The following is a 25,329-nucleotide window of genomic DNA, read 5'->3' on the forward strand; positions in this document are numbered from 1 at the left end:
GAATTTCCAGTCCTTTCCTGAATGCTTTTTCTTTAAAGTAGAAGCAAACCACGTTCATCAAAACCAGATGCTAATGTTTCTCTGTTCAGTTTCAGTTATCAATATCAAGTTTGAAAGATCAAAACATTTTTGTAAAAAATTGACTATGCTTATGATCAACTCACATTCACCAGGATGACATAAGATAAGGTCCATAAGTACCTTTGAAATGAATAAAACAAGATCATTTAGACCACATTTTTCTCTTGAATTTTTCTAAGCAAAAATTACTTTTTCAAGAAGTTTTACATATATGTGCATCATACAAACTTCCTGATTTAGTCCCTTTGAAGAGCTACTGACACTGCATGGATCAGCCCTTTAAACTCTGGTTGGCTCTGTTGACCACAGCATGTCCATATGATGGAGATGTGCAGTCAGCAGTCAAGAGCACCAATTGCCATTCCCACAGTGCTGACTGGATGGGGCAGAGCAAAAGTTGCAGCCCCCAGTTAGGGCCAATGTGTTGGTAGCAATGGAACCATATTGTATCCTTATAACCTTACAAGAATAATAATGTCCTAGAGTTCCTTTGATGCCCTTCTCCTGAGCATCCAAAAATTCTAACTGTGTACCATGTTCTCCAGCTATATTGAACACTCCACATAAAAATCTTCTTTATTCTCTTAAAGTATCATACCAATGGCAATAATATCTTATACAAATTTTATAGTGTTTATAATGCATTTATAGACTTGATTTAAGGCTTTTAAACTTTACTGCAACTATAGAACTTAAAAGAACAAGTAATTAAATTGAAAAAACAAAACTCAACTCCATGAATTCAGATATGGCATAGAGTTTATCAAAAATACCAACTAGAGGTTAATATTCTAGTGTAACATATGAAAGCAGATAGCATAATTATATGATACATTTACATTAAATGTGAGCATCTACATTAAATGATTGAAACAATATCTAGAATTTTAATTTTAAAGATAATTAAGTGCTATGTCAGGCATTAAATGTGTGGTGATTAACAAAACAATCAGAAGCTTTGCCCTCATAGAGCTTATACGACATAGGCTCATGGTACATACAGCTTATAGACATACATTAAACAAACACATAAGTAAATGAACATATAAACAAACAAACAAAATGATGATATGTGAAATAAAATGAACATGACACATGTATTAGTTCATTCTCACACTGCTATGAAGACATACTCAAGGCTGGGTAATTTATAAAGGAAAGAGGTATAATTGATTCACAGTTCAGCATGGCTGGGGAAGCCCCAGGAAACTTACAATAATGGCAGAAGGGGAAGCAAATCTTTCCTTCTTCACATGGCAGCAGAAAGGAGAAGAATGAGAACTGAGTGAAGGGGGTAGTCCGTTATAAAACCATCAGATCTCATGAGAACTTCCTCACTATTACAAGAATAGCATGGGGGAAACCACCCCCACAATTCAAATCCTCCATGTGAGGATTATAGGAACTACAATTCAAAATGAGATTTGGGTGGGGGCACAGACAAACCATATACTTCCACCCCTGGCCCCTCCCAAATCTCATGTTCTCACATTTCAAAACACAATCATGCCTTTCCAACAGTCCTCCAAAGTCTCAACTCACTCCAGCATTAACCCAAAAGCCAAAGTCCAAGGTTTCATCTGAGACAAAACAAGTCACTTCCACCTAAGTGCCTGCAAAATCAAAAGCAAATTAGTTACTTCCTAGATACAATGGCAGCGGGGGTGTGTGGTGGGGGGGTGTACAGGCATTGGGAAATATGCCTATTCCAAATGGGAGAAATTGGACAAAACAAAGGGGACACAGGCCTCATGCAAGTCTGAAATTCAATAGGGCAGTCATTAACCCTTAAAGTTCCAAAAGATCTCCTTTGACTCCATGTCTTAATCCAGGTCAGGCTGATGCAAGAGGTGGGCTTCCATGACCTTGGGCAGCTCCACTCCTGTGGCTTTCCAGGATACAGCCCCCACCCAGCTGCTTTTATGGGCTAGCATTGAGTGTCTGCAGCTTTTCCAGGTTCATGATGCAAGCTGTCAGTGGATCTACCATTCTGGGGTGTGGAGGATGGTGGCCCTCTTCTCACAGCTCCACTAGGCAGTGCCCCAGTGGGGACTCTGTTTGGGGGCTCCAATCCCACATTTCCCTTCCACACTTCCCTAGCAGAGGTTCTCCATGAGGGCTCTGCCCCATCAGCAGACTTCTGCCTGGACATCCAGGCATTTCCATACATCCTCTGAAATCTAGGCAGAGATTCCCAAACCTCAATTCTTGTCTTCTACGCACTCATAAGTCCAACACCACACGGAAGCTGCCAAGGTTTAGGGCTTGCACCCTCTAAAGCAACAGCCTGAGCTGTATGTTGGCCCCTTTTGGCCATGGCTGGAACTACTAGAACATAGAGCATCAAGTCCTGAGGCTGCACATAGCAGAGGGACCCTGGGCCTGGCCCATGAAACCATTTATCCCCTCTAGGCCTCTGGACTGTGATGGGAGGGGCTGCTGCAAAGGTTTCTGACATCCCTGAAAGCATTTTCCTCATTGTCTTGGCAATTAGCATTTGACACCTTGTTACTTATGCAAATTTCTGCAGCTGGCTTGAATTCTTTCCTAAAAAATGGGTTTTTCTTTTCTATAGCATCATCAGGCTGCAAACTTTCCAAACTTTTATCCTCTGCTCTTCCACTTGAACACTTTGCCACTTAGAAATTTCTTCTGTCAGATACTCTAAATCATGTCTCTCAAACTCAAAAGTCCACAGATCTCTAGGGCAGGGGCAAAATGCCATCAGTCTCTTTACTAAAGCATAGCAAGAATCACCTTTATTCCAGTTCCCAACAAGTTCCTCATCTCCATCTGTGACCACCTCAGCCTGAACTTCATTATACATATAACTATCAGCATTTTTGTCAAAGGCATTCAACAAGTCTCTAGGAATTTCCAAGCTTTCCCACATCTTTCTGTCTTTTGGGCCCCCCTACCTATTCAAACCTCTGCCTGTTACCCAATTCCAAAGTCACTTCCACATATTGGGGTATCTTTACAGCAGCACCCCTTCTCTGTGGTACAAATTACCTGAAACTAGGTAATTTATAAAGGAAGAGGTTTAATTGACTCAGTTCAGCATGGCTTGGGAGGCCTCAGGAAACTTACAATTGTGGCAGAAGGGGATGTAAACATCTCCTTCTTCCCATGGTAGCAGGAAGAAGAATGACAACCAAGTGAAGGGGAACATCCCTTATAAAACCATCAGATCCCATGAGAACGTACTCACTATCATGAGAATAGCATGGGGGAAACTGCCCCCATGATTCAATTACCTCCCACCAGATTCCTTCCATGACACGTGGGGATTATGGGAACTACAATTCAAGATGAGATTTGGGTGGGGACACAGCAAAATCCTATCAACACAGTAGGACTTATTTAGATATGTTGGTCATATATAGTGTGGTTAATTTTATGTGTCAACTTGACTGGGCCACAGGGTGCCCAGATACTGTCGTGTGTCACTTAATGACAGGAATATGTTCTGAGAAATGCATCATTAGGTAATTTCATTCCTGTTCAATAATCATAGAGCATACATACACAAATCTATATGGTATAACCTACTATACACCTAGGCTACATTGTACAGACTATTGGTCCCAGGCTACAAACCTGTACAGTATGTTACTGTACTGAATACTGTAGGCATTTGTAGCATAATGGTAATAATTTCTGTATCTAAAACATCTAAACATAGAAAAAATAATAGGTTGGGCTATGATGTTATGGCAGCTACAATGTCACTAGGCAATAGGAATTTTTCAGCTTCATTATAATCTTACGGGACCACTGCCATCATATGTGCAGTCCACCATTAACCAAAATGTAGTTATGTGGTACATGACTATATTTGGTCAAACATTGGTGTGTCTGTGAGGGTGCTTGTGGATGAGATTAACATCTGAATAACTCAATAGATAAAGCTGATTGCCCTCCCTAATGGGGGTGGGCATCATCCCATCAACTGAAGGCCAAAAGTCTAAGTAACTGGAAACTCCTACTGCTTATCTGCCTTCAAGCTGAGACCTTGTGTTCCCACCTCCCCATCCCCCCACTTTTGGACACAAACTGAAAATATCATCTTTTCCCAGGTCTTCTCAACCTTAAGAACATTCTGACTGGAATGACACTATTGACTCTCCTGGGTTTCCAGCTTGCTGACTGCAGATCTTGAGACTTGTCAGCTTCCATAATTGCACAAGCCAATTCCCTAAAATGTGAGTGTGTGTGTAACGGCTTAGTACATTCATGCTGCTATAACAAAATACCTGACACTGGGTAATTTGTAAATAATAAAGGTTTACTTCTCACAGTTTTAGAGGCTGGAAGTCCAACGTCAAGGTGCTGGAAGGGCCTGGTCTCTGCTTCCAAAATGGCACCTTGAATGCTGCATTTTTCAAAGGAGACAAATGCTGCATTTTTCAAAGGAGACATCACATGGTGGAAGGTAGAAGGCCAAAAATGACCTACCTAGTCCCCTCTAGCCCTTTTATAAGGCATGAATCCCATCCATGAGGGCAGAGCCCTTATGGTCTACATCCAAAAGGCCCTACCTTTTAATATATTGGAGATTAAGTTTGAACTTAATACATTGGAGATTAAGTTGCATTGGAGATTAAGTTTGAACATGAATTTTGGAGGGGACACCATCATTCAAATCATAGCCTATAGCTATAGATATAGCTGCAGATATAGATAGACATACACAGCCTCTTGGTTCTGTTTCTCTGGAGAACCCTAACTAATACAAATGGTATCTCAGGAAGTCTCACTTAATCTGAAACATGGAGGATAAATATAAATTAAAAAAATTAAGAAAAGTGCAAAGCATTTGCAAAATTTCTGAATTGAAAATAGTCCTAAGTGGTTAAAATTTAGTGCAAAAACCATGTTATGAATGTTACTTTATAGCTTCAGTGCAATTATTAAAGTTTTTTAAGTGAGGTAATAATTTATGTCTATATTTGGTATTTTAAAAATATATGTACATTTTACTTGAATTTATATTTTAAAAAATAGGTAACTATGATTAGTGATTGGAGAACAGGTTAAAGGTGTTGGGTGGGTTGAAAGTGAGATAAGACAGGAAGAGGGGTAGAAGTAGGGATGGCGAGGAGTACACAAAATCTAGACAGGATTTGGAGGTAAAATCAGCAGAACTCACTTATGGCTGAGGACAATGAGAATAAAGAGGCAGTGTGAAGGATAATTCCTATGTTTGTGGCTTGGGAAGTAGGGTTGAAACAACTGGATGAAGAGCAGAAGTGTAGAGTAATAACAGTGGTGAAATTTGGGGCATATTTATTTTTAAATGTAGCAATTCAAATGGTGATTTCCAAAATAATTATATATAAGGATTTGAAACTCAAAAGAGAGGTCTTAGGATATTTCTTTGGGAACCATAGGCTTATAAATGGTATTCATTTGCATGGCAATGGCTGAGATCACCTATGGAACAAACATAGACACAGGAGAAAAGAACACCTAGGACTGAGCTCTAGGTAAAAAATTTGAAGTTTGAAAAGATAATAGGGTCACAAAAAATACTGAGAAATGATCAAAAGACAACATCAGGAGAGTGTCACGCCATATAAGTCAAAGAAGAGGTGTAAAGATTGGAGGAGGCAAGAATGTTAAATAAAGTTATAAGAAATGATAAAAGGAGAACATTTAAATTTGACAGAATAGACATAATTGGGGAAGGGAAAAAACCATATTACAAAAGGATTATCATATCTAGTAGAGTAATTTAGTACACTAATAAATAATCTTCTCAAGAGCAATAGGATTATGTCACAACCATCAAAGTAACAGATTCAAAGAAAGTCCGAAAACAGAAGAGAAGAATTCTATACATAATTTCGGAGATTGGCAACTTTTCTAAAATGATATGTCAACTCCATATGGATCATTTCACTGTGAGCATTATTGTGTCAGAAATATATTTTAATTTGTAATTTTTTGTATAGTTTTTACTACATGCAAAGAAAAAATTTGCCAAATTCCTAAAAAGTTTCACTGAAAATCTTATTAAAATAAATCCCTGATTATGTTAGTGTAATTAGGCCTGGAGTTATCTCCCTGCCATATACAGCTAGAAAACTGGAATAAATATAAAAAATAATAGTTCACAGACATTGAGACAAGAGGAGATATAGGAGATATAGTACTGTAACCCTGAGACAAAGAAAACAGATAAGGCATGCCTTATGCTTCTGGCTCCCTTCGTAGAGACACTTTTTATCATGTTGTAAAGAGAGAGATCTCAAGAGAGCGTGGGTGTATCACTGATTTGAAGAGACAAAGATGGGAGTTTAAGGAGCCTGAGGCAACTGGAATTTGAGATGGAGAATATTGCAAAGGAGGGAGAAATCCATGGAAGGGATCAAGAACTCTTCTTAGGGGCCCCTTGAAGGCTTTGGCTGAATAGTAAGCCATACATACAGAGTGTACAACTCAGTCAGTATGAGCAAAGACTTACATTTAGTAATTACATTAAATGTAAATGGTCTAAACACTCCAAATGAAAGTAAAGTTAATAGTTCCCAGACCAGAAGACATTCACGTACAAATAGAAATAGTGAAGAGTCTTTTTTTTTTTTAACAGATGAGAAATTCAGTAGACATACCATAAATAGCATGCTTAGGTAAGAAACCTAAACTAGTTTAGATTATCCCTAAATAAGTTTAAAAACATTACTTGAAAAGATTAAGATGACCTGCAACTAAATAAAATGACTGCTAAAACAAAATCCAAACCTCTTTAAAAGAAGACAACAAATCCATATTCTTATCAATACAACATTGAAAATGTTTAGAATACAATAAAAAGCTTCTAAACATGTGAGGGATAAAAATAAAAAACAAAAAATATGACCCACATTCAGCAGAACAATCAGTCATAATAAACAGATTCAGAAATAATAGAGATAAGGGAGTTAGTAAAGACCTTTAAAATAGAATATCTGAAATAAAAATGTAAATGCAGTGAACTAATAGCAGATTAGACATTTAGAAGAAAATCAGTGAACTTGAACACATAGCAATAGAAGCTACTTAAACTAAAGCAAAAACTAAAACACTGAAGTAAAATTAACAGAGCCTCAGTAATCTGTGAGACAATGTCAGGTAGTTCAATATCCATGTAATGGTAACCTTGGAAAATGGAGCAAAGGAGAAAAAAAGAAAATTTATTTGAATAAAGAGTGGCTGAGGAATTTCTAAGTACAATTTTAAAATACCATAAACTCACAGTTCTAAAAAGCTCAATAAACCATACAGAAGATATGCACTTATAAAAAATAAAGCTACATCTATGCACATCATATCAAATCACTTGAAGCAAGTGATAAAGAGAAAAGCAATAATGAGAAAACAACTACATCATCTAAAAAGGAACAACAGACATCTGAATTATGCAATCCAGAAGATCTTTAAAGTGCTTAAGAACAAAACAAACCAACCAACCTGTCGTTCTTCAAGTAATCTAAAATGCAAGCAAAATTAGGCAAACAAAAGCTATAAAACTTTGTTGCCAGCAGACCTACTCTATAAGTAATGTTGAAGGCAGTATTTCAGGTAAAAGGAAAATGATAACTGGAGGAAATTTGGGTCTACACCAAATAATGAAAACAGACAGAAATGATAAATGTGTGATCAAATGTTAAAGAATTTTGAATGTTTCCTAAATTTCTTTAGTTTATAATTGATGTCAAATACAAAAATAATGGCAGTATTTATGGTGTTTATAACATGGAAAATAAAATGTATGACTAACATAAAACAAAGCTCATGAGAGGAAATGGAAGTATACTGTTCAAGGATTTTATCTTACATATAAGTGGTTACCTTACTTATATGTTAAGTGATATAATATTATTGGAAGGTAAAATGTGAGAAGTTAAAAATGCATATTCTAAACTCCAAAACAAGTACTTAAAAATTAAACCAAAAATAAAAAAAAACAGCTCAGAAGCCAAGAATAAAAATGATGTTATTACTAAAAAATGTGTAATTCCCAAATAGAAGGCAGAAAATGAGAAAGAAATAAAGAATAGCTGCATGAATAAAAAAGAAATAGCAAGATTATAGATTTAAATTAAACCCTATTGATAATAACATTAAATGCAAATGGTCTAAACACTCCAAATGAAAGGCAGAGATTATCAGGCTGAATTTTTTTAAAGCAAGGCATAACTGCATTCTGTCTAGAAAAAGCTGGGCTGGAGCCAAGATGGCCGAATACGAACAGCTCCAGTCTACAGCTCCCAGCGTGAGCGACACAGATGATGGGTGATTTCTGCATTTCTGTCTGAGGTACTGGGTTCATCTCACTAGGGAGTGCCAGACTGTGGGCACAGGACAGTGTGTGCAGTGCACCGTGCACCAGCTGAAGCAGGGCGAGGCATTGCCTCACTCGGGAAGCGCAAGGGATTAGGGAGTTCCCTTTCCTAGTCAAAGAAAGGGGTGACAGACGGCACCTGGAAAATCGGGTCACTCCCACCCCAATACTGCACTTTTCCGAGGGGCTTAAAAAACGGCGCACCAGGAGATTATATCCCACACCTGGCTCGGAGGGTCCTACGTCCACGGAGTCCCACTGATTGCTAGCACAGCAGTCTGAGATCAAACTGCAAGGCTGCAGCGAGGCTAGGGGAGGGGAGCCCGCCATTGGCCAGGCTTGCTTAGGTAAACAAAGCAGGTGGGAAGCTCGAACGGGGTGGAGCCCACCACAGCTCAAGGAGGCCTGCCTGCCTCTGTAGGCTCCACCTCTGGGGGCAGGGCACAGACAAACAAAAAGACAGCAGTAACCTCTGCAGACTTAAATGTCCCTGTCTGACAGCTTTGAAGAGAGCAGTGGTTCTCCCAGTACGCAGCTGGAGATCTGAGAACAGGCAGACTGCCTCCACAAGTGGGTCCCTGACCCCTGACCCCCAAGCAGCCTAACTGGGAGGCACCCCCCAGTAGGGGCAGACTGACACCTCACATGGCTGGGTACTCCTCTGAGACAAAACTTCCAGAGGAACGATCAGACAGCAGCATTTGCAGTTCACGAAAATCCGCTGTTCTGCAGCCACCGCTGCTGGTACCCAGGCAAACAGGGTCTGGAGTGGACCTCTAGCAAACTCCAACAGACCTGCGGCTGAGGGTCCTGTCTGTTAGAAGGAAAACTAACAAACAGCAAGGACATCCACACCAAAAACCCATCTGTACATCACCATCATCAAAGACCAAAAGTAGATAAAACCACAAAGATGGGGAAAAAACAGAGCAGAAAAACTGGAAACTCTAAAAAGCAGAGCACCTCTCCTCCTCCAAAGGAACGCAGCTCCTCACCAGCAATGGAAAAAAGCTGGACGGAGAATAACTTTGACGAGTTGAGAGAAGAAGGCTTCAGACGATAAACTACTCCGAGCTAAAGGACGAAATTCAAACCAAAGGAAAAGAAGTTGAAAACTTTGAAAAAAATTTAGACGAATGTATAACTAGAATAACCAATACAGAGAAGTGCTTAAAGGAGCTGATGTCGCTGAAAGCCAAGGCTCGAGAACTACGTGAAGAATGCAGAAGCCTCAGGAGCTGATGCGATCAACTGGAAGAAAGGGTATCAGTGATGGAAGATGAAGTGAATGAAATGAAGTGAGAAGGGAAGTTTAGAGAAAAAAGAATAAAAAGAAACAAACAAACCTCCAAGAAATATGGGACTATGTGAAAAGACCAAATCTACGTCTGATTGGTGTACCTGAAAGTGACGGGGAGAATGGAACCAAGTTGGAAAACACTCTGCAGGATATTATCCAGGAGAACTTCCCCAATCTAGCAAGGCAGGCCAACATTCAAATTCAGGAAATACAGAGAACGCCACAAAGATACTCCTCGAGAAGAGCAACTCCAAGACACATAATTGTCAGATTCACCGAAGTTGAAATGGAGGAAAAAATGTTAAGGGCAGCCAGAGAGAAAGCTCGGGTTACCCAAAAAGGGAAGCACATCAGACTAACAGTGGATCTCTCAGCAGAAACTCTACAAACCAGAAGAGAGTGGGGGCCAATATTCAACATTCTTAAAGAAAAGAATTTTCAACCCAGAATTTCATATCCAGTCAAACTAAGCTTCATAAGTGAAGGAGAAATAAAATACTTTACAGACAAGCAAATGCTGAGAGATTTTGTCACCACCAGGCCTGCCCTAAAAGAGCTCCTGAAGGAAGCACTAAACATGGAAAGGAATAACCAGTAACAGCCACTGGAAAAACATGCCAAATTGTAAAGAAACTGCATCAAGTAACGAGCAAAATAACGAGCTAACATCATAATGACAGGATCAAATTCACACATAACAATATTAACTTTAAATGTAAATGGACTAAATGCTCCAATTAAAACACACAGACTGGCAAATTGGATAAAGAGTCAAGACCCATCAGTGTGCTTTATTCAGGAAACCCATCTCACGTGCAGAGACACACATAGGCTCAAAATAAAAGGATGGAGGAAGATCTACCAAGCAAATGGAAAACAAAAAAAGGCAGAGGTTGCAATCCTGGTCTCTGATAACACAGACTTTAAACCAACAAAGATCAAAAGAGACAAAGAAGGCCATTATATAATGGTAAAAGGATCAATTCAACAAGAAGAGCTAACTATCCTAAATATATATGCACCCAATACAGGAGCATCCAGATTCACAAAGCAAGTCCTGAATGACCTACAAAGAGACTTAGACTCCCACACAATAATAATGGGAGACTTTAACACCCCACTGTCAACATTAGACAGATCAACGAGACAGAAAGTTAACAAGGATACCCAGGAATTGAACTCAGCTCTGCACCAAGTGGACCTAATAGACATCTACAGAACTCTCCACCCCAAATCAACAGAATATACATTTTTTTCAGCACCACAACGCACCTATTCCAAAATTGACCACATCGTTGGAAGTAAAGCTCTCCTCAGCAAATGTAAAAGATCAGAAATTATAACAAACTGTCTCTCAGACCTCAGTGCAAACAAACTAGAACTCAGGATTAAGAAACTCCCTCAAAACCGCTCAACTACATGGAAACTGAACAACCTGCTCCTGAATGACTACTGGATACATAATGAAATGAAGGCAGAAATAAAGATGTTCTTTGAAACCACTAAGAAAAAGACACAACATACCAGAATATCTGGGACACATTCAAAGCAGTGTGTAGAGAGAAATTTACAGCACCAAATGCCCACGAGAGAAAGCAGGAAAGATCCAAAATGGACACCCTAACATCACAATTAAAAGAACTAGAAAAGCAAGAGCAAACACATTCAAAAGCTAGCAGAAGGCAGGAAATAACTAAAATCAGAGCAGAACTGAAAGAAACAGAGACACAAAAAACCCTTCAAAAAATTAATGAATCCAGGAGCTGGTTTTTTGAAAGGATCAACAAAATTAATAGACCACTAGCAAGACTAATAAAGAAGAAAAGGGAGAAGAATCAAATAGACGCAATAAAAAATGATAAAGGGGATATCACCACCGATCCCACAGAAATACAAACTACCATCAGAAAATACTACAAACACCTCTATGCAAATAAACTAGAAAATCTAGAAGAAATGGATAAATTCCTCAACACATACACCCTCCCAAGACTAAACCAGGAAGAAGTTGACTCTCTGAATAGACCAATAACAGGCTCTGAAATTGTGGCAATAATCAATAGCTTACCAACCAAAAAGAGTCCAGGACCAGATGGATTCACAGCCGAATTCTACCAGAGGTACAAGAAGGAACTGGTACCGTTCCTTCTGAAACTACTCCAATCAATAGAAAAAGAGGGAACCCTCCCTAACTCATTTTATGAGGCCAGCATCATCCTGATACCAAAGCCGGGCAGAGACACAATCAAAAAAGAGAATTTTAGACCAATATCCTTGATGAACATTGATGCAAAAATCCTCAATAAAATACTGGCAAACCGAATCCAGCAGCACATCAAAAAGCTTATCCACCATGATCAAATGGGCTTCATCCCTGGGATGCAAGGCTGGTTCAACATATGCAAATCAATAAATGTAATCCAGGATATAAACAGAACCAAAGACAAAAACCACATGATTATCTCAATAGATGCAGAAAAGGCCTTTGACAAAATTCAAAAACTCTTCACGCTAAAAACTCTCAATAAATTAGGTATTGATTGGATGTATCTCAAAATAATAAGAGCTGTCTATGACAAACCCACAGCCAATATCATACTGAATGGGCAAAAACTGGAAGCATTCCCTTTGAAAACTGGCACAAGACAGGGATGCCCTCTCTCACCACTCCTATTCAACATAGTGTTGGAAGTTCTGGCCAGGACAATTAGGAAGGAGAAGGAAATAAAGGGTATTCTATTAGGAAAAGAGGAAGTCAAATTGTCCCTGTTTGCAGATGACATGATTGTATATCTAGAAAACCCCATTGTCTCAGCCCAAAATCTCCTTAAGCTGATAAGCAACTTCAGCAAAGTCTCAGGATACAAAATCAATGTGCAAAAATCACAAGCATTCTTATACACCAATAACAGACAGAGAGCCAAATCATGAGTGAACTCCCATTCACAATTGCTTCAAAGAGAATAAAATACCTAGGAATCCAACTTACAAGGGATGTGAACGACCTCTTCAAGGAGAACTACAAACCACTGCTCAATGAAATAAAAGAGGATACAAAGAAATAGAAGAACATTCCATGCTCATGGGTAGGAAAAATCAATATCATGAAAATGGCCATACTGCCCAAGGTAATTTATAGATTCAATGCCATCCCCACCAAGCTACCAATGACTTTCTTCACAGAATTGGAAAAAAACTACTTTAAAGTTCGTATGGAAACAAAAAAGAGCCCGCATCACCAAGTCAATCCTAAGCCAAAAGAACAAAGCTGGAGGCATCACACTTCCTGACTTCAAACTATACTACAAGACTACAGTAACCCAAACAGCATGGTACCGGTACCAAAACAGAGATATAGATCAATGGAACAGAACAGAGCCCTCAGAAATAATGCCGCATATCTACAACTATCTGATCTTTGACAAACCTGAGAAAAACAAGCAATGGGGAAAGGATTCCCTATTTCATAAATGGTGCTGGGAAAACTGGCTAGCTATATGTAGAAAGCTGAAACTGGATCCCTTCCTTACACCTTATACAAAAATCAATTCAAGATGGATTAAAGACTTAAACGTTAGCCCTAACACCATAAAAACCCTAGAAGAAAACCTAGGCATTACCATTCAGGACATAGGCATGGGTGAGGACTTCATGTCTAAAACACCAAAAGCAATGGCAACAAAAGCCAAAATTGACAAATGGGATCTAAATAAACTAAAGAGCTTCTGCACAGCAAAAGAAACTACCATCAGAGTGAACAGGCAACCTACAGAATGGGAGAACATTTTCACAACCTACTCATCTGACAAAGGGCTAATATCCAGAATCTACAATGAACTCAAACAAATATACAATAAAAAAACAAACAACCCCATCAAAGAGTGGGCGAAGGACATGAACAGACACTTCTCAAAAGAAGACATTTATGCAGCCAAAAAACACATGAAAAAATGCTCATCATCACTGGCCATCAGAGAAATGCAAATCAAAACCACAATGAGATACCATCTCATGCCAGTTAGAATGGCAATCATTAAAAAGTCAGGAAACAACAGGTGCTGGAGAGGATGTGGAGAAATAGGAACACCTTTACACTGTTGGTGGGACTGTAAACTAGTTCAACCATTGTGGAAGTCATTGTGGCGATTCCTCAGGGATCTAGAACTAGAAATACCGTTTGACCCAGCCATCCCATTACTGGGTATGTGCCCAAAGGACTATAAATCATGTTGCTATAAAGACACATGCACATGTATGTTTATTGTGGTACTATTCACAATAGCAAAGACTTGGAACCAACCCAAATGTCCAACAATGATAGACTGGATTAAGAAAATGTGGCACATATACACCATGGAATACTATGCAGCCATAAAAAATGATGAGTTCATGTCCTTTGTAGGGACATGGATGAAATTGGAAATCATCATTCTCAGTAAACTATCGCAAGAACAAAAAACCAAACACCACATATTCTCACTCATAGGTGGGAACTGAACAATGAGAACACATGGACACAGGAAGGGGAACATCGCACTCTGGGGACTGTTGTGGGGTGGGGGGAGGGTGGAGGGATAGCTTTAAGAGATATACCTATTGCTAAATGATGAGTTAATGGGTGCAGCACACCAGTATGGCACATGTATACATATGTAACTAACCTGCACATTGTGCACATGTACCCCAAAACTTAAAGTATAATAATAAAAAAAGAAAAAAAAAGAAAAAGCACACTATTAAAAAACATAGTAAAATGAGTGAAAAATATTTACCATGCTAACAATAATCTAAAGAAAGTTGTAGTGTCTATTTTAATATCTTGCAAAATTAATTTTAGAACAAGAAATATTACAAGGGATATAATAAGGGTATTTTTGAACCTACGTTGCATGTAGGTTCAAAATACATGAAAAAGTAAAAAGTCCTCTCTGAATAGTTCATAGTATAAGCAGACCTAAAATTAGAAAAAAATTTAGTAGGCATGTATAACACTGTCAACCAATTTGACCTAATTATCACTTATAGACCATTCCTTCCAATATCAGCAGAATACACACCCAATTTTCAATGGCCCATAGAACACTTAGAAACCATGTTAGGTGATACAAGTTTCAATGAATTTAAAAGGATTCTCAGCATATAGAATATGTTCATTAACAACAATAAAATTAAAGCAGAAATCAATAATAAAACATATTTTTAAATTCCCAGATATTTGAAGATAAACACTACAATTCCAAATAACCCATGGGTTAAAGAAGAAATCCCAAAAGATATTAGAAAATATTTTGAACCAAATTAAGATGAAATCACAGCACATTAAAATTTGAAGATTCAAGCTAAAACAATGTGTAGAAAAAAATTTATACTTTAAATGTTTATATTAGGAAATAATAAATACTTAAGATTAATGGTCCTTATAACTTCCACCTTAAGAAATTAGAAAAAGTAGTACAATTAACTCAGGAGGAGGAAGGAAATAATACTGGAAATCAATAAAATAGACAATAAAATAAAATAGAAAAAAATTAATGAAACCAAAATCTGGTTCTCTGGAAAGCTTAATAAAATTAATAAGCTTCTAGTTATATTAATGAAAGTGAGAGAGAGAGAAGACACAAATTACCAATATTAAGAATAAAAAGGGGATATTATTGCAGAACCCATAGAAATTGAAATTGCAACAAAGAATTATTAAAACAAGTATATGCCAAATAATTTTTAAGCTTAGATTAAAAAATAACCATATTTACTGAAATAGACTAATTATAGAACTGACTTAAGAAGAAATAAAAAGCCTCTAGCTATTTAGACTATAATTAAAAATCTCCCCTCAAAGAGAACTAAAAGTTCAGGTGGCTTCACTGGTGAGCTATATTAAATATTTAATGAAGAAGTAATGCCAATATTTTACAAATTATCCTTTAAAGTAGAGGAGGAATGTACATGTCTCAACTCATTTTTATTAAAATTGGCACCAAAACCAAAGACATTACAAGAAAACTGCAGACTAATGTCCCTCATGAGATTAGATGCAGAAACATTGAAGAAAATATCAGCAAATCAAATTCAATAATAAGTAAAAAGACAATACATTGCATCAGAGAGCGGCTTATTTCAGAAATGCAAGGTTGGATGAGTGTATAATCAACCAATGCCATTCATCTCATTGGGAGTTTGAAGGGGAAATGCTTAATGTAGAACAAACATTGAAAAAACATAATACCCAGCCGGGCGGGGTGGCTCACGCCTGTAATCCCAGCACTTTGGGAGGCCGAGGCGGGTGGATCACGAGGTCAGGAGATTGGGACCGTCCTGGCTAACACGGTGAAACCACGTCTCTACTAAAAATACAAAAAAATGTAGTCCCAGGTACTCAAGAGGCTGAGGCGGAAGAATGGCGGGTGAACCCAGGAGGCGGAGCTTGCAGTGAGCCGAGATGGCACCACTGCACTCCAGCCTGGGCGACAGAGCAAGACTCCGTCTCTAAAAAAAAAAAAACCGTAATACCCATTCATAAAAACATTCTCAAAAAATAGCAATAGAAAGAAACTTCTAACCTAATAAAGTGCATCTATAAAATACCTACAATCAATAATATACTTAATGGTGAAAGACTAAATGCTTCTTTTTATTATCAAGAATAAGAAAGGATATCCGCTGCCAGTACTTCTATTCAACGTTGTACTGGAGGTTGTGAAAGCTAGTGCAACAAAGCAACAAAAAAGCAGTAAGAGACATATAGAAATAAAGTTTGCTCCCAGTTTCCTTTCTTCAAAGAAATAATTCACATCAACTGCTTTCTTGTCTTTTTCAATTTTTTTTCTTCCATGTTCCAACTCTTAAGCTAGGAACATTATTCTAGCTGTTGGTTTGTAAAAGAACAAACTCTCTTTCTGCCAGGAATCTATGTCTTCTGGTTAGCTTCAGGTTGGAACTGCTCTCCTCAAATCTACCAAAATCCAACATTAGGCTTCTGGTAAATTGCAAAATGACAACACATTATTTCCATTCCTGAAGATATATTCCTTTGCAAGGTTACTTTACAACTTGTCCATCATTGAAGAGGAGTAGTCTGTATATCCATCCCTTGAATCAGACATCATTACTTGCTTTGGACAATAGAAAGCAGCAGAAGTGATGAGTCAGTTCAAGCCTACGCCTCAAGAGACCTTATTTTCACTATTGTTTTTGGAAGCCTGCCATGCCACGAGAACAAGTCTGAGCTATCCTGCTGGATAGTAAGAGACCATTTAAATGAGAACCAAGATGCCCTAACTTACAGCCATTTCTTAGCTGATCTCAGACACTCAAGTAAGCTCTAGCAACTTGGTCTAGGTGAGAAGATTGTCAGCTGAGTCCAGCCCAAATTGATGACCTGAAATTAAAACAATGGCTGTTGTTTTAAGGCACTAAGTTTTGCATTTATTTGTGACACATCAAATGCTGTACTGATAAAAGTACACAGTGGAATTTGCTCACAGGATTGCTTCTTTATTTTTTGGTCTCTAGTATCATCTCCCCAAAGTTGCATATGTTTTAATTCCCCTTCCCCCTCTCCTTGTTTGCAGGTGAAAATTCTCTCAAAACTTCAATTTTTCTTGCAACTTTTCCCTGCTAGATTAGGGGTGTGTGTGTGTGTGTGTGTGTGTGTGTGTGTGTGTCTGACGGAATTGAACTAAAAAAGGAAGACTTCTGTGAACCTAAAGAAGTAGTACTTGGCTGGGCACGATCCGAGGCAGTCGGATCTCAAGGTCAAGAAATCGAGACCATCCTGGCCAACATGGTGAAACCCCGTCTCTACTAAAAATACAAAAATTAGCTGGGCATGGTGGTGCACACCTGTAGTCCCAGCTACTCAGGAGTCTGAGGCAGGAGAATCGCTTGAACCTGGGAAGCAAGGTCGCAGTGAGCAGAGATTGCACCACTGCACTCTAGCCTGGCTACAGAGCAAGACTGTCTCAAAAAAAAAAAAAAAAAAAAAAAGTAGTACTTAAGTGGAAATAGAAACAGTTCTTTTTAGCTTTATCTTCGGCTTGATTTACACATTTTACTTATTTTTGATACAGTGCCTTGTGGTTGGCAATCCATAAATAAGGGACATAAATGGTTAAATAATTGATATATTTTTCATTTTAATGTATATTTCTAAGGAAAGTAAAATAAAAAATCATTTTTATTTGAATAGTTTGTGTCACTCTGGATTAATTTATACTGGGCCTTACTTGGAATCCATGTCTCCTGCTAGAGGTTGAAAATCCCAGATATTCATGTTGAAACACCTAATCTGTGGTCCTTCATTTATTCATTCAGCAAATGTGTATTCATTATCTACTATTTGGTAAGCCCTATACTAGACTGAGGAAACAAAGATGAAGAAGATAGTGTTCCTATTTGCAGCATCTCAAAACATTGTTTTTAATAAAATTACTAGTGGGGTAAGTGACACCTTTGTTAGTAAAGCACTGAAACTTATAAATTATATTGTTTTAAAGATCTCTGTATTAGAAACTTACTCTTCTTTACTTGTACTTTTATATCTAGTTTTAAGTAGAAAAATAAGGGAGCAAACATTACAGTCCTTGGATCTAATTCTAGATGTACTCATGAAATGTCTCACATGTGATATGCATCTATCATGTATTTTGCCACTGAAATAAAATCGAGAATTGTTGTGGGAAAGAAAGATGAATACGTAAATGAGTGAGTTAATAAGAGTGTTGTAGACAGGATAACAGAATATACGGTAGCATCTAGGTGAAAAGACCATAGAAAAGGCTTTATATAAAAGATCACTCTTGATATGGGAGGCAAGTGGATGTTTGCTATTTGGACAAAATGCTGGGGAAGGAGAGGGTATGGTAGGCACAGGGAGCCTACCATTTTATTACCTAAGGAATAAAATGAAGATAATGAAGGAAAAGGGCTTGGCATGAACATTAGCATGAGATGGGACATGGAGCAGAGGAAATGAGGGGTGGCAGCAAAAAATAGGATGAGAGATTAGAAAAATTGGCTGAGGCCAAATCATAGAGAACTTCTATGCCATGCCATGCTGGCTGAACATTCTCTGTAAATGACAGAGAAATTATTGAATCATTCTGAGAAGGTAAATCGTGAGAATTAGCTTTATATTTTAGAAAGATTTATCTGGAGATATTTTGGAGGATAAATGAAATCCTAGAGTTAAGGGAAGCCCAGTTAAAAAAACAAACAAACAAAAACCCCTCTTACTACAATAGTGTAGTAAAAGAATGCAAGGGCCTAAAGTGATCTCAGTGGCAGGGAAGGAGGGGAATATCTATAGATTCATTAGTACTTGGTCCTATTGGAATGTGGCTGGTGACAGAAAAAGAACAGGCCCAGATGGTGCTCAGCTTTTGGATGTGGGGCATTCACTGAGTGAAGAGTGGTCTCATTAAGCACAATAAGAAACAGGCCAGCAGGTTTCCAGTGAATTCAGAGGACTAAAGAGTTAGCTGACGGCTGTATTTGCTTATCATTGAAACAATGTAGAAGAGGTTTTCTGGGATATCCAAGGAGAATGTTTCACTGGTATCCTGCTTCCCCGGTGCTGTACACTGGCTAGGCAAGTGTTTCATATACACATATGTTAATGCTGAAGAATCCAGCTCAGGTAATAAACTAATGATCTTCTGATTCTTTCAGATGAAAAACTTTTGACATTATGCATCAAAAGAACATAGAGTGTCCCTAAAATACTTGCAAAGGTCTCTTGCATTCTCATTATTCTGTGACTAATTACCCTGTTCTTTTAAGCAAGTTTCTGGAACTCACCTTTATATGAGAATGCTGAACTAGATGTTTTCTACATTTCCTGTCTTGCTGCTTTAAAAATAAAATATTTTCTGTGTTGAGCAGCTAAAAGAGACCTCATTATTGAATAAGTCCTAGACAGCAAATAGGTATAACTATTTGAATAGAATGGGCAACCTATTTTTTCAAAAATATTATAGGAGGGTTTGTCAGTTGGAAGATTCTTCTTTATAGTTATCATGTCCATTCTTCAAGCATTTTGACACTAAGATATCTTTTGTTTTTAGAAACTATTATCTCCAGAGTGACAAATTTTAAATTTCCCAATAAAATAAACTGAGAGCAGAACTCAAATAACCAAGAGTACTATTTGACTGTTCATTTCTTACCTAAAATAAAAATAAAACACATCTCCTTACCCACATCTAATTTGGGGGCTGCCAAAGGACTCAAAAAAACACCACTTTGCTTATCAAAAAACCCAGGGAAAAACCCTGAGGTTAATTTTGAACATTGAACAATGTTGTTCTTGACTTTTTAAAGTTTTCTTCACAGAAGCAATGTGGGTTAAAGGGAAAGTAGTGTAACTGTGATTTATTTTTAAATGTTAATGCTCAAGGGGAATACTTTTGGCTTCGCTGGTTCTACTACCATCAGGATATCATTTTCCTTTCCTTGTTCTTACAGTTGTATATATGAGAAAACCAGGACTTCATTTATGGTTATGCTTCTTCTCCCCACAGGACTTGCCAATATTCTCCATTTAAATTTAAGGCATAAGTGAAATGGGCTGACTTTGGTTTAACTAAAAAGTCACATATTCATGACTATATAAGAAAAATGTTGTATTGATTCTGATAGCCCACAGACTATTCAGTTTTGATTGATACTTTACTCAAATACACGGCATGTTTTAAATTCTCATTATGCATTTTTGTGAATGGGAAGTGAAGAGTTTGTGGCAGTATTAAGTGTAAGGAAAATCTGAATAGCTTTGAATTATCCTTGTTTGGTGTTTTTAGCCTTATTTGGGGTTATTTTCATGAAGATAAGTTAAGTCTGCTATGGAAATAAAACACAAAACACTGAATTTAGTGATGGGTTTGTAAATAACAAAATTCCAAGTCACTTTCATTCTCAAGTGATTGTCTCTCTAGAAGGTAGTTAGGGACCATATATCTGAAGGAGTTTGGCCTTCCAAATATGTTGGCAGTTCTTGGCCTCCACTCAGGTTCTGGCTGGTATGAAATTTGTTTTTCTTCGAAGGCTGCTCCAAGACTTCAGTAAAATGATTTGTATCTGGGTCTGTTTTGCTTCTCATGTGGTATCATACTCCCTTGCACAGACTTTGCCAGGAATAACCTCTTTTGGAAGGAAAGGAAAAAAGAGGGAGGGAAAGAGGGATAAGGGAGAAACAGCATATCAGACTGCCTTTATATTTTGGAATTTTGATAAAGAAAGCAGAACTCACTGTGAAATTCACTGAAACATTCCATTGCCTAGATAATAATAATCAAATATTTTAGTAGAAGGTTGAAAAGATATAGCTTCATGGTTATTAATAGAGGGGTATAATATTAGGCCACAATGTGATTTTCTGCATCAAAAGAAGAGTAGATTAGGCGACACTGATGGAAATACGGTGCCTGAACCAGAGACTGTAGTCTCTCTGGATGCTGCTGCTTTGAAGGATTTCATTTAATCCAGCTACTACCATCTAAAGAGGATGGTGACATATTAAAATGCATCTAGAAACAACCATCCAGTAGCACTAGCTCAGAGGACATGATATTTCAGGAAGACTGAAAACACAGACTAAAGAAAAATTATGTTGCATTTCTGAAAGTGTGCTGGGCTGATCACCTGAGTCAGGATAAGCTGAGGTGCTTTTTAAAATGCAGATTTTTGACTTCACCTGAGAATTCGAGAATCAGAAACTTGAGGGAGAGTTCTGGGGTGATGTGCTTCTTAAAGAAGTTTTCCAAATGAGGTTTATGCACATAAGTGTTTGAGAACCCCTGGAATGGATGAACCTGAGGGCAAGCTGCCAGGGATGGTTGGGCTATTATAAGGTAGATGAGAAGATAAGGCATAGGGTCCAAGGCATTGGTAAGGTAAGGCGTTGGTCCAAGGATGGAATTCAGCTACAGGGAGACAGATTTCAATCTAATAAATCTAAAATCATGAGCACTTTTTCATCACACAGTTTTCTTCTTTAAACTGTCATTTCTTAGCAAAGTACATTTCACTTTATGGGTGCTAAGGAAATGTATGTGGAGGGGATGAATGAATAACTCTAATTAGAGAACCATATATTCTGGTTTGATAGGGCAGTTCTTGATTTACACCTGTTAAGCCAGTGTCCTTTCTAGTTTAGCATTTGTCCTGGATTTCTCTCTCTCTCTCTCTCTCTCTCTCTCTCTCTCCTCTCCCTCTTTCTCTCACTCACTCTTGCTCTCTCTCTTTCTCGCTTTCATAAAGTATTATTGTAAGTATTCATAAAGCATTATAGTGGCATTAAAGTAAGAAAGGGTAGATTTGACCTACTTCTACTTTGTATTTCCAGCTTCCGCCATGGGTTTACTACTATTTGTGAGGTGAATGCAAGTGAACAAAGTTCCTACTTTTAACATGTGGTTAAATCTGAAAGGTGACCAACAGTGACTCTCTCTCTTTTTCCTATCATTCTAGTTGTAACATAATTAATACTTCCCTTTATAGAACACCATATGGAGAGCTCACTGATATGATAAGTACCTTGGAACCCAAAGAGCTAAGGGTAGCGTTTAAGTCTGTTTGCACTGCTATAAAGGAATACCAGAGACTGGGTAATTTACAAAGAAAAGGAAATTAATTGGCTCATGGTTTGGCAGGCTGTACAGGAGGCATGGCCCCAGCATCTGCTTAGCTTCTGGGGAGGCCTCAGGGAGCTTTCCCTCATGGTGGAAGGCAAAGTGGGAGCAGGCAGATCACATAACAAGAGAGAGAAAAAGAGAGAGGTGGCGAGGCCTCGGACTCTTTTAAACAATGAGCCCTTACATGAACTCACAGAACAAGAACTTACTCATTACCACAGGGAGGGCACCAAGCCATTCATGAGGGATCTGCCTCTATGACCCAAACACCTCCCACTAGGCCCACCTCCAACATTGGAGGTTACATTTCAACATGAGATTTGGATGGGACAAGACATCCAAACCATATCAGTAGCTAACTCGATCCAGTCTCAAATGGTAGAGACAGCAGTGAATGCTGCTACTCCTGTTAGCAGCGTGGTATACCAACCTGCATGCCATGACCCATGCTATGGCCTACAAGGTACACCAAGCTGTCAAGCCACCAGTTAGCAAGACCAGAGGACAGTGTGTAAAATTACAAATTAAGTGTAAATAAGTATGTACAGGAAATAAAGGCCAACAGTTCTGCCAAAGAACCTAGAGCAAGTAATTGGAAGGTCCTTGTTACAATTGTTTTGTCAGAACTTTGTACCATGTTAATCAACTATCTAGTTATTTACTGTTTGTTAATTCTATTTTGTTCTGTAATAAGCCCTTATAGCAGCAATATATTGAAAAAAATAAAACTGTGTATGTAGTGAACATTTAAGTTCTGAATTTCTGTTTCATAAAATATTTGTTGACATTTATCATTCACATAGGGGCCATAGTGACATCACTGGCCATATGAAAACCAGAATACACAAATCTTCTGAAAAGCTTTAATGTCTAATTAGGTTGAACTATATCAAATTGCTGTTTTGTAGGTCCAAAGCAAAGAGTTTTAGTACTATCATATAATTTAATCTAATGCTAGTTATTTTTAGATGATAATTGCTTTTGCTTTTGCTTTGCAATTACTATCTTAAAATAACTAGCATTAGGTTGACAAATGGGACCTAGTTAAACTAAAGAGCTTCTGCACAAAGAAACTATCATCAGATTGAACAGACAAACTACAGAATGGGAGAAAATTTTTGCAATCTATCCATCTGACAAAGGGCTAATATCTAGAATCTACAAATAACTTATACAAATTTACAAGAAAAAACCCCATCAAAAAGCAGGCAAAGGACATGAACAGACCCTGCTCAAAAGAAGACATATGGCAAACAAACATATGAAAAAAAAGCTCATCATCACTGGTCATTAGAGAAATGCAAATCAAAACCACAATGAGATGCCATCTCATGCCAGTTAGAGTGGCAATCATTAAAAAAGTCAGGAAAAAATAGATACTGGAGAGGATGTGGAGAAATAGGAACACTTTTACACTGTTGGTGGGAATGTAAATCAGTTCAACCATTGTGGAAGACAGTGTGGTGATTCCTCAAGGATCTAGAACCAGAAATGCCATTTGACCCAGCAATCCCATTACTGGGTATATACCCAAAGGATTATAAATCATTCTACTATAAAGACACATACACATGTATGTTTACTGCAGCACTGTTCACAATAGTAAAGACTTGGAACCAACCCAAATGCCCATCAATGATAGACTGAATAAACAAAATGTGGCACATATACACCATGGGATTCTATGCAGCCATAAAAAAGGATGAGTTCATGTCCTTTGCAGGGACATGGATGAAGCTGGAAACCATCATTCTCAGCAAACTAACACAGGAACAGAAAACCAAACACCTCATGTTCTCATTCATAGGTGGGACTTGAACAATGAGAACACATGGACACAGGGAGGGGCACATCACACACAGGGGCTTGTTGGGAGGTGGGGGCCTAGGGGAGAGATAACATTAGGAGAAATATCTAATGTAGATAACAGGTTGATGGGTGCAGCAAACCACCATGACACGTGTATACCTACGTAACAAACCTGCACGTTCTGCACATGTATCTCAGAACTTAAAGTGTAATAATAAAAAAAACCTGAACTCATAAAAAAGATGATAATTTAACATCAACAATGGCAGAAGATGCATTTGTAAATCATTCTTTGAAGGCAGACTTTTCACTTAATCAAATGACTGTTTTTATAAACTAATTTAATTTACTCTTCATTCTAAGATTATTTTTATGCATTACTAAAAGTTAGTATTGATTTCATTCACAGAACTTTGCAAACATTAAAATGATGTTAATTTTATATTTGTAAATATTAGATGCTTCATCTAGAAAATAAGTTAAATGAATTACAATGAGAAGTATCCAATTCACAAATGGTAAATGCAATGTTAATGTGAATATACATTTTGGAGAAGGAGATTATTGTAGTAAAAACAATATTCTTTGCAAATTAAGAAACCTGTGAAGCAGCAACTGGTTATATCATAAGAATAATTCATAATTGCATCCAAACAAACTGGGATATTCTACAATAGAGGGAGCATCTCTAGTTGCTAAAATTTACAAATACTTTTATATATTCATAGGGTAGTAATACTACAAACATGTTGTGATTAAGCCTATGTTGAATAAAAAATTAGTTTAATATGGTAACATGCACTTTTTTCCTTGCTGTCCATCATCAATCTACCATTAGAATTGTTGAGCCACTAAAGTACTACTTATAAAATTACCTAAATATTCTTAATGTCAGGGAACTTTTTCTGTAAGTAAGCTTTCTAAATTTTGATCACAATTTTCTTAATTAAAATCTTTAATCAAAGAATTCAAAAAATAAATTTTTAAAAAAATTTCAAAATATTCAAGAAAATTATAATAGTTGAAAACAAAATTCACAAACCAAAGACACTGAAATTTATTTCTACAAAACTAAGAAGGTAACTGAACAAATTGAACCATGAGAGCTCAAAATCTCTGCAGGATTTTATTTTGAAGTTTTACAATTGCACTTTGAAATATCTTGAATTGTGAGAAGA

The 25,329-nt window shown here is 37.6% G+C and overlaps 1 long non-coding RNA gene across 2 annotated transcripts in view, besides 1 other annotated feature; it reads right to left on the minus strand.

Moving 5' to 3' along the window:
- LOC105377462 (uncharacterized) overlaps window positions 1-25,329 on the minus strand; it is a 360,687-nt gene that overhangs the window by 181,806 nt on the left and 153,552 nt on the right. The window lies entirely within an intron of this gene.
- Window positions 8,540-8,732: a silencer, noted in NCBI's record as "fragment chr4:145312958-145313150 (GRCh37/hg19 assembly coordinates)". NCBI's record gives its function as "represses an EF-1alpha promoter that drives an FKBP-Casp9 reporter gene in an ReSE screen in HepG2 liver carcinoma cells {active_cell/tissue: HepG2}" and the evidence as "EXISTENCE:reporter gene assay evidence [ECO:0000049][PMID:32094911]".

This window comes from Homo sapiens, chromosome 4, assembly GCF_000001405.40.
Source record: "Homo sapiens chromosome 4, GRCh38.p14 Primary Assembly".
Taxonomy (NCBI): Eukaryota; Metazoa; Chordata; class Mammalia; order Primates; family Hominidae; genus Homo; species Homo sapiens.